This window comes from Homo sapiens, chromosome 3, assembly GCF_000001405.40.
Source record: "Homo sapiens chromosome 3, GRCh38.p14 Primary Assembly".
NCBI lineage: Eukaryota > Metazoa > Chordata > Mammalia > Primates > Hominidae > Homo > Homo sapiens.
The window spans coordinates 52185644-52198013 of record NC_000003.12 but is presented as its reverse complement, the minus strand read 5'-3'; the positions used below and the strand labels follow the sequence as shown (position 1 = coordinate 52198013).

At 52.6% G+C, this 12370-nt stretch overlaps 1 pseudogene, besides 4 other annotated features; it reads right to left on the bottom strand.

Annotated features, from left to right (window-relative positions):
• Positions 13 to 232: an enhancer, noted in NCBI's record as "active region_19929". NCBI's record gives its function as "activates an Ori minimal core promoter by ATAC-STARR-seq in GM12878 lymphoblastoid cells {active_cell/tissue: GM12878}" and the evidence as "EXISTENCE:reporter gene assay evidence [ECO:0000049][PMID:35858748]".
• Positions 243 to 312: an enhancer, noted in NCBI's record as "active region_19928". NCBI's record gives its function as "activates an Ori minimal core promoter by ATAC-STARR-seq in GM12878 lymphoblastoid cells {active_cell/tissue: GM12878}" and the evidence as "EXISTENCE:reporter gene assay evidence [ECO:0000049][PMID:35858748]".
• Positions 3023 to 4969, bottom strand: ALDOAP1 (ALDOA pseudogene 1; annotated as a pseudogene).
• Positions 8567 to 8861: an enhancer, noted in NCBI's record as "tiled region #13023; K562 Activating DNase matched - State 8:EnhW". NCBI's record gives its function as "activates a minimal TATA promoter and a strong SV40 promoter by Sharpr-MPRA in K562 cells {active_cell/tissue: K562}" and the evidence as "EXISTENCE:reporter gene assay evidence [ECO:0000049][PMID:27701403]".
• Positions 8567 to 8861: a silencer, noted in NCBI's record as "tiled region #13023; HepG2 Repressive non-DNase unmatched - State 3:PromF". NCBI's record gives its function as "weakly represses a minimal TATA promoter and a strong SV40 promoter by Sharpr-MPRA in HepG2 cells {active_cell/tissue: HepG2}" and the evidence as "EXISTENCE:reporter gene assay evidence [ECO:0000049][PMID:27701403]".

The following is a 12370-nucleotide window of genomic DNA, read 5'->3' as shown; positions in this document are numbered from 1 at the left end:
CGGATATCGGTGCTGCCGGGGATTCCCCGGCTCGCCTGCAGGGAGGAGGAAGCGCTAGGCGGTGGGCGGACGAGGTCTCTTTTCCCGACCTCATCCTGCACCCTCGTGCTGCCTCCCCACCAACTACCCTGGGCTTCAGAACCCTACGCCCCAATTGAGTATAAAATGGCAAGGTCGAGGCGAGGTGCCGCTAGGGCCAAGTTGGGGGCTACAGGGTTGTTAAGCTGGGTGTCTTGGACATGGAGGAAGAAGGAGATCCAAGGGGTTCTGGGCCGGGGTGTTAAGCAGGATCCATCCCGCCTGCGGCTTGCTTTGGAAACTGTGAACAAGGGCTTCCCGGAGGAGGTGGAGCTGGCTATATCGCCCACAAATGGAGTGGTCCTGGCAGGATGCGGAAGAAGCGGGACACTCAGCTGTGGCACTTTCTGGTCTAAGATGATCCAGAGGGGACAGAGGAACAGGGCTAGGGTGGAACCCATCCACTCCACAGCTCTGAGCACTTGGGGAGGAGGGGAAGGCACAGGGCCTGACAATAGTTAGCGTGTAACAAATATTAGCCACTATTTTTATTTTCCATCCAGGGTTGTCTGAAGCCCCTTGCTGGCCACCCTGGGCACCAGCAGGGTGGCTTAGGCCTCCATGCCAAAGGTCAGCGTTGGGCCATACCTCCATTGAGTTTCCCGGGTACAACACATAAAGTGTAGGGCTTGGCAAACCCGTCTCAGGAATGTCAGTCTGGCTTCCTTGCCCCACACCCTTCCCAGCTTGGCTTGGGCTGTGTTGGGCTGGGCCTGTGCCAGGCTCAGAGGTACTCTCCTCCATTCTTGAGGAAAGGGCCTTTGAGGGTATTCCTTTCCCAGCTGAGCATTAACAAGAGGGACAAAGTCCAGAATGATGGTGACCAGGGTGTGTCCAGGTACTTTGCATTTCTGTCTCTGAGCACCCAGCTGGCTGCAAGGCAGGTGAGGTGAGTCTCCACCTTCAGAGGAGGCACCTGGGTTCAGAGTGGCAGTGGGACCAGTCCAGGATGAGGGCTTTGGTCTGAGAGCTCGAGACCCAGTTCTGTGCCATTCAGCCAAGAGATCCTGGGCAGTGCCCATCACCCAGAGAAGATGAGAGAGAAAAGGTCAGCACTTGGACTTGGACCCAAGTGCAGCTGGAAGTGGGAACAGAATAAGGATGATATTGAGTGCTTTGCTCATCTTTGGGCCTTGCTTTCCTTATCTGGGCAATAGGATCATAATCCCTGAAATGCCTGCCTCACAGGTTGTTTTTGTTGTTGTTGTTATTTTGTTTGTTTGTTTGAGACAGAGTCTCCCTCTGTTGCCCAGGCCGGAGTGCAGTGGCACAATCTCGGCTCACTGCAACCTCTGCCTCCCAGGTTCAAGCGATTCTTCTGCCTCAGCCTCCTGAGCAGCTGGGATTACACCACCACGCCCAGCTAATTTTTGTATTTTTAGTAGAGATGGGGTTTCACCATGATGGCCAGGCTGGTCTTGAACTCCTGACCTCAAGTGATCACCCTCAGCTTCCCAAAGTTCTGGGATTATAGGCTTGAGCCACTGCGCCTGGCCCTCATAGGGTTTTTTTGGGGGTGATCAGAGCCAAAGCCAAAGCAGAAAGAACTGGATAGTGGAGTTGGGCATGGGTTTCAAACCCAGCTCTGAATCTTACTTGGCCATAGACTTGGGCAGGCCACAACCTCTTCAAGGCTTGGTTTCCTGATTTGTAAAGCTCTCCCGCCCTGCCACTTGTGGCTGGCAGGAGGGTCAGGTGAAGTCCTGTATTTCAGAGGCTTATTGTTTAAACCAGCCAGTCCCTAGCCCTCTGGGAGTTTCCTGTTTAATATAGAGAAAGATTGGGAAACAAGGCCGACTCACATGGAAAGTGAAATAGAGTGTTGTAAGCAACTCCAGATGGAGGAAGAGGAGGAGGCTATTACTCCAACAGGCGCTGAAAGAGGAGGATCCCAACCACGAGGAAGGCTTCCAGAAGAGAAGCGGGTGCTGGTTGGAAGGGTGGATCTACATGCGACTGGGAGACTGTGGGTGAAGCCTTGGATGGAAAAGGCTCAGCCCTGTGGGGGTGGCGGTTGGGGGGTCAGCGTGAGTCAGCCCAAATAGCTGGGCAACGGGAGTATGGTCAGGACCTGACGCCAAGAGGTCAGACCAGAAAGGCCCTAAATGAGCCACGGGGTTTCCCAGTGTCAGGGCCCAAAGAACCACCCCCAGGGTACCGGTCAAAATGCAGATTCCTGTGCCACACACCTTTGATTTTGACCCAGAAATCTGCATTTTAACCAGCTCCCCTTTCTGATGAGGTAAGGGTGAGGTATCTTGGAATATGTTTCTTGAGTGGTTCAAGGTTTGAGACCTTGAAGAGCAAGGCATAAGCCATGAGTTCTAGTCCTAACTCTGAGATCTTGAGCAAATTGCCTCATGCCTTAAATCTTAGTTTTTGTGTCTGTGAAATGAGAATGACCCCATCTGCCTCAGTGATGAGTCTGGGTGGGCACTATTCTGCTCCAGTTGTGATCCTTCGGGGCCTCTTCTTCTCCCCTCCGCCCCCTCCTCCTCTTCTTCTTTCTTTTTCTTCTTTTCCTTCTCCTTCTTCGCCTCTCACTCCTCCCTTGTCCTTCCCTCCTTCCCCATCTTCTTTTCCCTTTCTCTCCCTTTTTCTCTCTCCCTTACCCCTCCCTCCCTTTTCCCTCCTTCCCTCCTTCTCCCTCCCTCCCTTCCTTCTCAGAGCTACAGTATAAACTCATCTTATCACTCGCTCTGGCCCTGGGCAGCTGGAGTTGAGGCAAGGTCAGGCCCCATCCCAGGGATGACGCTGGGGACTTTTTTCCCTCCCACCCAGTCTGCATCATGGTCATCATTACCATCACTATCACCGTCCGGGGCTGCTGCACATAGTACCCACCCAATGGTCAAGGCAAAAGGAAAATGTCAACCCCAGCCCCTAGAATTCCCCCTTTTTATTCTGGGCCCCAGGAACTATTTTTATTTTTATTTTTATTTTTTCTCCCTTAAATAGCTGTTTATTAGCAATGTGCTAGAAAGGGTGATGGAGTTAGCATTCACAGACAACACACACCGCTGTCACGAGGGAGGCAAGCGCGCGGGCAAGCCAGCCTGGAGCCCCGAAGAGGAGTCCCCCTCTTCAAGAGAGCGTGGGAGGGGATGGGGCCTGGGGTGTTGGGGGGCAGCCTGGGAACACCTCCGCTTACTAGGCATGGTTAAAGATGAAGAGGGACTCACTGGCAGCAGCCCCAGCCTGACCGCTTGGAGTATACTTTCCTTGACAGGCGTGGCTATCTGCCAGGGCTCACTTGACATACTCCTTCTGCACAGCCTTCAGGTTCTCCTTCTTCCTGCCCCAGGCCTTCAGGGCAGAGGCCTGCAGGGCTCAGCTATATGAGAAGGTCAGGCCCCAGGGCTTCAGGAGGGGGCACTTGTTAATGGCATTGAGGTTGATGGACACTTCCTTGCTCTGGCCTCCAGACAGGAAGGTGATCCCAGGGACAGTGGGGGACACTGTGCAGTGCAGCACTTAGTTTTTGTGTCTGTGAAGTGAGAATGACCCCACCTGCCTCAGTGATGAGTCTGGGTGGGCCCTGTTCTGGCCCAGTTGTGATCCTTCTAGGCCGCTTATTCCCCAGAGTGTAGTGCTTGTGACAGTTGCCATGGCAATCTCCTCATGAGAAAACTTCTGGATGCAGGCATGGCCTGGGGTGACCATATTGGACTTCAGCAAGGTGCCTTCCAGGTAGATGTCATGGTCACTCAGAGCCTTGTAGAGCAGCCACACCTTCTCGGTTACATACTGGCAGTACTACAAGTCATGGTCCCCACTGGGGAGGATCCTCAGGCTCCACGATGAGCACAATGCCATTCTGCTGGCAGATGCTGGCATAGTGGGCCAGGACATTGACACACTAGCATTTTCTCTTTCTTTTCTTTCTTTCTTTCTTTCTTTCTTTCTTTCTTTCTTTCTTTCTTTCTTTCTTTCTTTCTTTCTTTCTTTCTTTTTCTTTCTTTTCTTTCTTTTTCTTTCAAGACGGCGTCTCACTCTGTCACCCAGGCTGGAGTGCAGTGGTGCAATCTCAGCTCATGCGACCTCTGTCTCCCAGGTTCAAGCGATTCTCCTGCCTCAGCCTCCCAAGTAGCTGGGACTACAGGTGTGTGCCACCACGCCTAGCTCATTTTTGTGTTTTTAGTAGAGATGGGATTTCACCATGTTGGCCAGGCTGGTCTCGAACTCCTGACCTCAGATGATCCACCTACCTCAGCCTCCCAGAGTGCTGGGATTACAGGCGTGAGCCACCGCGCCCAGCTGATGTTGGCATTTTCAATGATGGTGAGGGCTGAGGGGGTGTGTTTCCCAATCTTCAGCACATGATGCCACTTGGCAAAGTGGGCTCCATCCTTCTTGTATGGGGCACAGCGCTCAGACAGCCCATCCAGCCCTTGGGTGGTGGTCTCACCATTTGCCCTTTCCAGGGGTACCACCCCCTTGTCTACCTTGATGCTCACAACATTGCCCTTGGATTTGATAACTTGGGGGAAGGGACGCCCATCATCCGCCTTTTGGTACAGCGTCTCATGGAAGAGGATGACACCCTTGATGCAGGGGTTCACGCGGTTGTCAGCTGTCAGCCACAGCTGGCGGTAGAAGCACCGGTTCTCCTCGGTATTCTCGGTGCCAATGGACTGCAGCCACTTGGCAGTGCTCCCAGTGGACTCATCTGCAGCCGGGATGCCCTTGCCCAGAGCTACGATGCGATGAGTCATGTCAGACAGCTCCTTCTGCTCCGGGGTCAGCAATGGATATTGGTAGGGCATGGTACTGGTGTTAGCAAGTTCTAGCACAGGAGAGGGGTGGGTTTGCAGGGTGCGACGGTGGAGGGTGGCAGGCGGGCGAGTGGACTCAGGGAGAGAACGCAGCACTCATCACCAGGACCCCTTCTCCCAGGAACTATTTGTAGTAGCACTCCTCCAAGAAGGTGAGGTAGCACAGTCTTGGCAAACCTGCTGCTTTCTTCTGGGCCTCAGTTTCCACATCTGTCAGTCAAGCAAGAAATCTTGCATCCTTCTCAAAGAGACCCCAGGTGGACATAGGACAGCTCCAACCTGTGCTGCTGCTGCTCCTTGGGGTGTCAGTGCCCTTCTATACAGTGGTAGATGGGGGCCAGCCGCACACAGTGGGTAGAGGATCTGGAAACAGCCCAGCTCTGCCCTGAACAGTTGGAGGCATGAGCTCCAGTTTACCATGATGGGGCCCAGGAGCCACCATGTGAGATGGAATTTCGGGGTTGGCAGAGCAAAAGGGTTCTGAGGTCTCTGGCGCTGGCCTTGTCCTAACCCTGTCTTTGGAATCCCGTTAGACTGTGGTTGCAGAGCAAGGGGTGAGCTCTGGTTTGTGAGAAGAGAGAGAGGGGCTGGAGTGGAGCAAAGCCAATAAATGCTTCAGGAGATAGGTCTGGAGTGGGGGGGCTTTGCAGGGAGCAGCAGCCCCCATCCTAGAGAGCAGAAAATGCCCAGAGAGCCCCAGAGGACCCCTGAACCCAGCCCTCCAGCCTAGCACCCACAAACTGTGGCCCAGATAAGTTCTGTGTGGCCCACGTAGTTTTTGTTTGTTTGTTTTGTTTTGTTTTTTGTTTTTTGTTTTTTTTTTTGAGACAGAGTCTCACTCTGTCGCCCAGGCTGGAGTGCAGTGGCACAATCTTGGCTCACCGCAAGCTCCGCCTCCCGGGTTCATGCCATCCTCCTGCCTCAGCCTCCCAAGTAGCTGGGACTACAGGCGTCCACCACCATGCCCGGCTAATTTTTTGTATTTTTAGTAGAGACGGGGTTTCACCATGTTAGCCAGGAGGGTCTCAATCTCCTGACCTCGTGATCCGCCCACCTCGGCCTCCCAAAGCGCTGGGATTACAGGCGTGAGCCACTGCGCCCGGCATTCTTGTTTTATAATAAAATGTGAATGCATTGTCAACATTTAACCAGCAGGAATTTTCTCATCAAGCCTCAGATGTTCAGCTTCTTTTGAGGAATCAGTAGACCTGGAGCCCCTGGGCTAGCCCAGGCAGGGTGTGCTCTCTCCACTTCTCTATCAGCTCTCCCTTCAGTGCGTCCCCAACCCTGAGGAATGTAATGTCCAAGCAGCGACACCTCCCTGGCCTTGTAGGCATCAGTGTGTGTTCCCAGCCCTAAGCCATTTTACAGCCAGGGAGACTAAGACTCAGAGAGGGGAGAGGACTTGCTCGAGGTCACACAGAAAGTGATGTTGGGCTGTAGGGGGACCCAGGTGTCCTGATTTCTATGTCTTCCACACTACACTCACAGCTTCTGGAGGAGGGTCTGGGGTCAGTGGCTAGGGGAAGGATCAGGCTAGCTATAAGGGGCCTCCTGGAAGGGACTAGCCCAGAGGTGGATTCCTCCATGCTTGTCATCTTCCCCCCAAGCCCCTGCATGTGGATCAGGCAGATCAGGGCCCCTTGAAGATAATGGGGCAGGGGCAGGCACAGGCTGAGCCCTCTCCTATGGCCGGCTGTGCCTGCCCCTGCCTCATCACCTTCAAGGGGCCCTGGTCTGCCTGATCCACATGCAGGGGCTTGGCGGGATGAGGATGTGCAGTGCGGGGAAGCCTCCCTCCCTGTCCTCCTGAGCTGCTGGGCAGACAGACATCAGCAAAGAAGCCGTAGCAGTCTGTGACCAGTGTGGACAAGGGTGCTGGATTAGAGAATGGCGGGATGGGAAGGGGGACCCACCTCAGGGCTGCACCCTGGTGTCAAGCAGATGCCACCTAGGACAGAGCGACCAGGCTGAGGGGCCCCCAGTGAAGGCTAGAGGGAGCCTGATATGGAGAAGGAGCATGGAGGAAGACAGGGAGGCTGAAGTCAAGAGAACGGGGCGGGGGTGGGGGGTGGCAGATCCAGGCCGGGAGACATTAGAATCTCGCCATAATCAACAGTGCAATTATCCACCAATTCAGGGACCTTATTTCTCTCTGGCCCTGTTGGCATTTAAAGGCCTACCCAGCACCCCTTCTGCCCGGACACAAGGGAGCTGGAACAAAGGGGAGGAGGAGTGAGAAGAGAGTGAATGTGGATCGGCTGGGCAGGGCCAGTAAGGAGAAGGCCAGGGAGCATGAGAATCTGCTGAGCAAAGATGGTAGCAGCAGCCGCTGTGTGCAAATGTTTGACCTGGCTCTGTGATTAAGTGCACAACCCCAGACCCCCCACACAGTGCACCCTACAGATGTCAGTCCCATACAAGGAACAGAGGCTCAGAATGGTTAAGTTGCACAAGGTCATACAGCCAGCAAGTGGGGAGAGTGGCTGACCTCCTGGCCCTTCTGGCTTCTGGTCCAGCACTCCACCCTGTGGGGGCGGGGTGAAGAAGCTGGGAGGAATGAGGCTGGGGCAGCTTCAAGGGTCTTGGGTCTCAGGGGAGGCATTTCTCTGTTTCTGGGTGACAGGACTAGTTCGGGCAGGCAGATGGGAGCACTTAGCCAAGGAGGCTGGCCAAGGCTCTGGCCAGCTGCCGGCCACCCAACTCAGGAGAGGTTGCCCACTTCCGGGAACTTCTGGGCAACCAGCCACATCCTCAGAAGGCAGGACTCCTTCCAGACCCCACACACTGGTGGACACTGCTCACTCTCTCCCCTGGACCTGGCCAGCTGCTCTGGGCCCAGTTGCACAGCACCCAGGGCCCACAGCCTGGCAGAGGCCTCCCACCCTCCTTGGCTCTCTCCTTGGAGGTTCCTAGAAGGAGGAAAGCGGGCCCTTCTGGAAAGAGGAAAGGGTTTTCTGTCACCCTAAAACCCATCTCCAATGGTGGGGAACAGCAGCCCCCTCCTCCCTGTCTCCTCTCCCTGCTCCCACAGCCACCCCCTTATTGAATGATCTGTGTTAACAGTAGTAGTAATAACAGTCACTACCAAATTGAATTGTGTCTCTACTGTAGTGTGGTACCAAGTACTGTGTGTTTCAACTCTCATAGGCCCCCTGTGAAGCAGCTACCTGCAGCCCCATTCTCAGAGTGTGGAGGCAGTGCGCTGCCTGGGTTCGACTCCCCGTTCCATCCTCTGTGTGCTCTATGTCCTTAAGCAGTTGGCACAGCCTTTCTGAGCTTCAGTTTCCTCATGCACAGAAAGGGAGTGATATTTTCTATACTGGCTAAATGCTGTGTGTCAACTTGGCAAGGCTATGGTGCCCATTGTTTTATTAAATACTAGTCTAGGCCAGGTGCGGTGGCTCATGCCTGTAATCCCAGCACTTTGGGAGGCCGAGGCCCTGGCCAACATGGTGAAACCCCATCTCTACTAAAAATACAAAAATTAGCTGGGCATGGTGGCATGTGCCTGTAATCCCAGCTACTCTGGAGGCTGAGGCAGGAGGATCACTTGAACCCGGGAGGCGGGGGTTGCAGTGAGCCAAGATCAAGCCACTGCACTCCAGCCTCAGCGATAGTGAAACTCCATCTCAAAAACAACAACAACAACAACAAAACAAAACAAAACAAACAAACAAACAAAAAACCTAGTCTAGATGTTGCTGGGAAGGTATTTTGTACGTGCAATTAATATCTAAAACCAGTTGACTTTAAGTAAAGGAGATTATCACCAGTAATGTGGGCCTCAATCAATCAACCGAAGGCCTTCAGAGCAAAAACCAAGGTTTCCTGGAAAAGGAGAAGTTCTGTCACAAGATGTAAAGTAGAGATATTGTCTGAGTTTCAAGCCAGCCAGCCTGCCCTACCAAGTTCCAGCTTATCAGCATCCACGATCATGTGACCCAATTCCTTAAAATCCATCTCTCTCTCTCTCCTATTGGTTCTGTTTATCTGGAGAACCCTGACATACTTTCCACTCAATGAGTGGAAAGGTCAGTGAGACGCTGCTGCTGTGATTGGTAGAGGCACCTGTTCCTGGAAACAGCATGCAGGTAATATTAGCTGTGGGTTACAGATGAGGGAACTGAGCATTGGGAAGGTGACTTGTTCAAAGTTTCGGAGCTGGAGTCAGGATGTAAGCTGGCCTGCCTACCTGCAGCTGCACCTCAATCACTGGGTCCTCACCTTGTCATCCACCTCCTTGTCAAGACCCTCGGACCAAGCTGCCCAAGGGGCTACTGGTGGCATCCTCTCTCCAGGGCTTGCCTTTGAATTTAATTAAAACCCTCAGGCCCTGGTATGGGAAGTGAGACCAAAGGCCATTGAGTCCCCACTGACACTGAGTTAACAGATTCTTATGCAAGATTAGCAGGCTTGTGATGTCAACACCAACATTCACCTGCCTTAGAATTGTCATGGCCTTGATGGGGCCTTTGGAGTTGAGAGTGAAATCAGCAAAGGAGAGCTAAGTAACAACCCCTTATCTTGGGGAAGCCTTTTCAGCCCTGCTCCTCACTCTGCAGACCTAATAAGCCTTAGCTTTTCAGCATAGACCTGGGATCAGCAGTGCAGAGGCCTGTAGGGTCCAGATAGGTGAGGACAGTGGGCACCTTGGACTCCTGGGCTGAAGGACAGACACATTTCAGCTCTGGCCATTGTTATCCCTAGAAACAGGGCCTGGTGTGTCCAGGGCTTCTTCTTGTATTTCTAGAAGAGACTCATAGCCAGATTTTTTTTTTAAGAGACATGGTCTCGCTCTCTCCCCCAGGATGGAGTGTGGTGATACAATCATGGCTCACTGCAGCCTCCACCTCCTGAACTCAAGTGATCCTCTAGCCTCAGCCTCCTGAGTGGCTGGGACTCAGATGCGCACCACCATGCCTGGCTAATTTTTAATTTTTTTGTAGAGATGGGGTCTCATTATGTTGCCAGGCCCTGGCCTCAGGTGATCCTCCCACCTTGGCCTCCCAAAGTGCTGGAATTACAGGCGTGAGCCACTAGGCCTGGCCTAATCACATCCAGATTTTTATATGAGCACTTTGAATTTTAATGGTTTTTTAAATAACAAAAGCTTATTTATTTGAATAGATATTTGCATATGATAATGCAAATAGTGTAACAGAGTAAAAGAGATTTCCCTTATCCAGGTCTCTTTCCATACACAACCACTGCTCCTGAGTTCTCATAGGTCTTTTCAGAAAGATTCTACTTATTCATTCAACATTTATCAGTTGCTCACCTACTACAAGTCCAGCACTGAACATATAAAAAAGTCTTTCTTGTTTGCTCCTTGCTTTTTGCATTGAATACTACACCTTGAAGAGGGCTGCATCCTTTTTGACAGCCGCATAGTATTCCGCTGTGCTGATGCACCATGATTCACTTGTCTAGCCTCTTACTGTTCATTTGGTAGTTTCCAATGGGTTACTCCTATCAGTGTCCTTGAACCTGCTTCCTTATGTGGGGTGAGGACTTCTGTGGGGTATTTAGAAACAAAACGCAGCCTGGTCAACATGGTGAAACCGTGTCTCTACTAAAAATACAAAAATTAGCCAGGCATGATGGTAGTCGCCTATAATCCCAGCTACTCTGGAGGCTGAGGCAGGAGAATTGCTTGAACCCGGGTGGCGGAAGTTGCAGTGAGCCGAGATCACGCCATTGTGCTCCAGCCTGGGTGACAGAGTGAAACTCCTCCATCTCAAAAAAAAAAAAAGAAGAAACAAAACCACCAGGTCAAATGTCAGAATCTTTTTTTTTTTTTTGAGACGGAGTCTCTCTCTGTTGCCCAGGCTGGAGTGTAGTAGCACGATCTCGGCTCACTGCAAGCTCCGCCTCCCGGGTTCACACCATTCTCCTGCCTCAGCTTCCCGAGCAGCTGGGACTACAGGCGCCCCACACCATGCCCAGCTAATTATTTTTTGTGTGTGTATTTTTAGTAGAGACGGGGTTTTACCACGTTAGCCAGGATGGTCTTGATCTCCTGACCTCGTGATCCCCGTCTCGGCCTCCCAAAGTGCTGGGATTACAGGGGTGAGCCACCGCGCCCGGCCAGGTCAGAATCTTTTATTCCAACTTTATGTTTTTTTTTCTTTTTCTCTCCTCTTGAATTGAGTGTGTTCTTGTGAGTGGCCTCAGATCCTTGATGGAGTGAGGCAGCTTCCAGGAAATGGATCAATAGGCTTTTTTTATTCAGCAAATACTTACTGTGTACCTACTGTTTGCCTAGTGTTGAACTAGGTTCCGGGATGGCAGCTATGAACAAGGTAGATGTAGTCCCTATTCTCGCGGAGTGGACACTTTGGTGGGGGAGACAGATGTCCAGAAGGACACGCCATCCAGACACATAATCTTGTGAGGGTGAGAGCTCACATGGTGCTCTGAGTGACAAGGACAGTGGCTGCTCTGTTTGGAGGCTTGGAGAGGCCTCTCTGAGGAGAGGATGTTTAGGGTGAGTCCTGAAGGAGAAGGAGCCAAGCTGGCGATGATTTGGGGTGGAGGAGGCCAGGAGCTGACCAGTGCCCCAGGCTGGGGGATCTAGTGCAACACTCTTGGTCACCTCCAGCTCTGGCCACTATGCTTTGGAATATGGGAGGGTTGGAAATAATCACCCATCCATGCCCAGTGCCAAGGAGGTGCTGGATAGATCTAATTATGATTACTATTATCATGACTGAAATGTGAGCAAGGAGGCATGGCAGAGAAGTTGGGGGGATATGGGGAGCCTTGGAAGCTGGGCTCCAGGCCCCCTTGGGAGGGGGCAATGCGGAGGAGCTGGAAGGCCATAGTCCTCCAAGCCTTCAGGGAACTTACATTATCTGGTGTAGCTGGTGGGAAGGGGGCATGGGGGCAGCTAAGGCAATCTGGGCCCAACTGAGGGGGCCCTGAGAACCATCCAAGGGATGGGTCTTGTTCTGTAGGCTTTGGGATTAGAAGACAGCTCTGAAGCCTTGGGACTCAACCCCGACTCATTAGGTGCCAGATCCAGCCTGGGGTTGGGGGAAGGCAGCCACAGTGTTTACCCAATCTCCAAAGCCCATCCAGCTTGATGCAGTGGCCTGGTTGTGACACCCCTCAGTGCTTCCCCCTAGCTAACGGCCATCAGCCCACTCAGCCTCCAGGTTCCTCTTTGCTGAGCTACTCACACCGGGGTCCACTGGGACTGTGCCTTCATTTCTCTGACCTGGGGAGTTGGAGAAGTTCAGCAGGGCTGGTGGCTCACAAGAGGTACCCAATGAGCATTTGTTGAATGAATGAATGAACATATGAATAAATGCATGAATGAATGGAGTGGGTAAATAAATGAGGATTATCTGTGAACTATGTGCAAGTGAGTGTGTGTGGGTGGGTCCTTAGGCCCCAGAGATAGGGCCGTTTGTGGGCCCAGAGATGGGGCCATTTGTGGGCAGGTTGTGTCAGCAAAGAGGTGAGTGTGGAAAGCTAGGGTCAGATGGCTGGTCAGCAGATGGCCTGGAGAA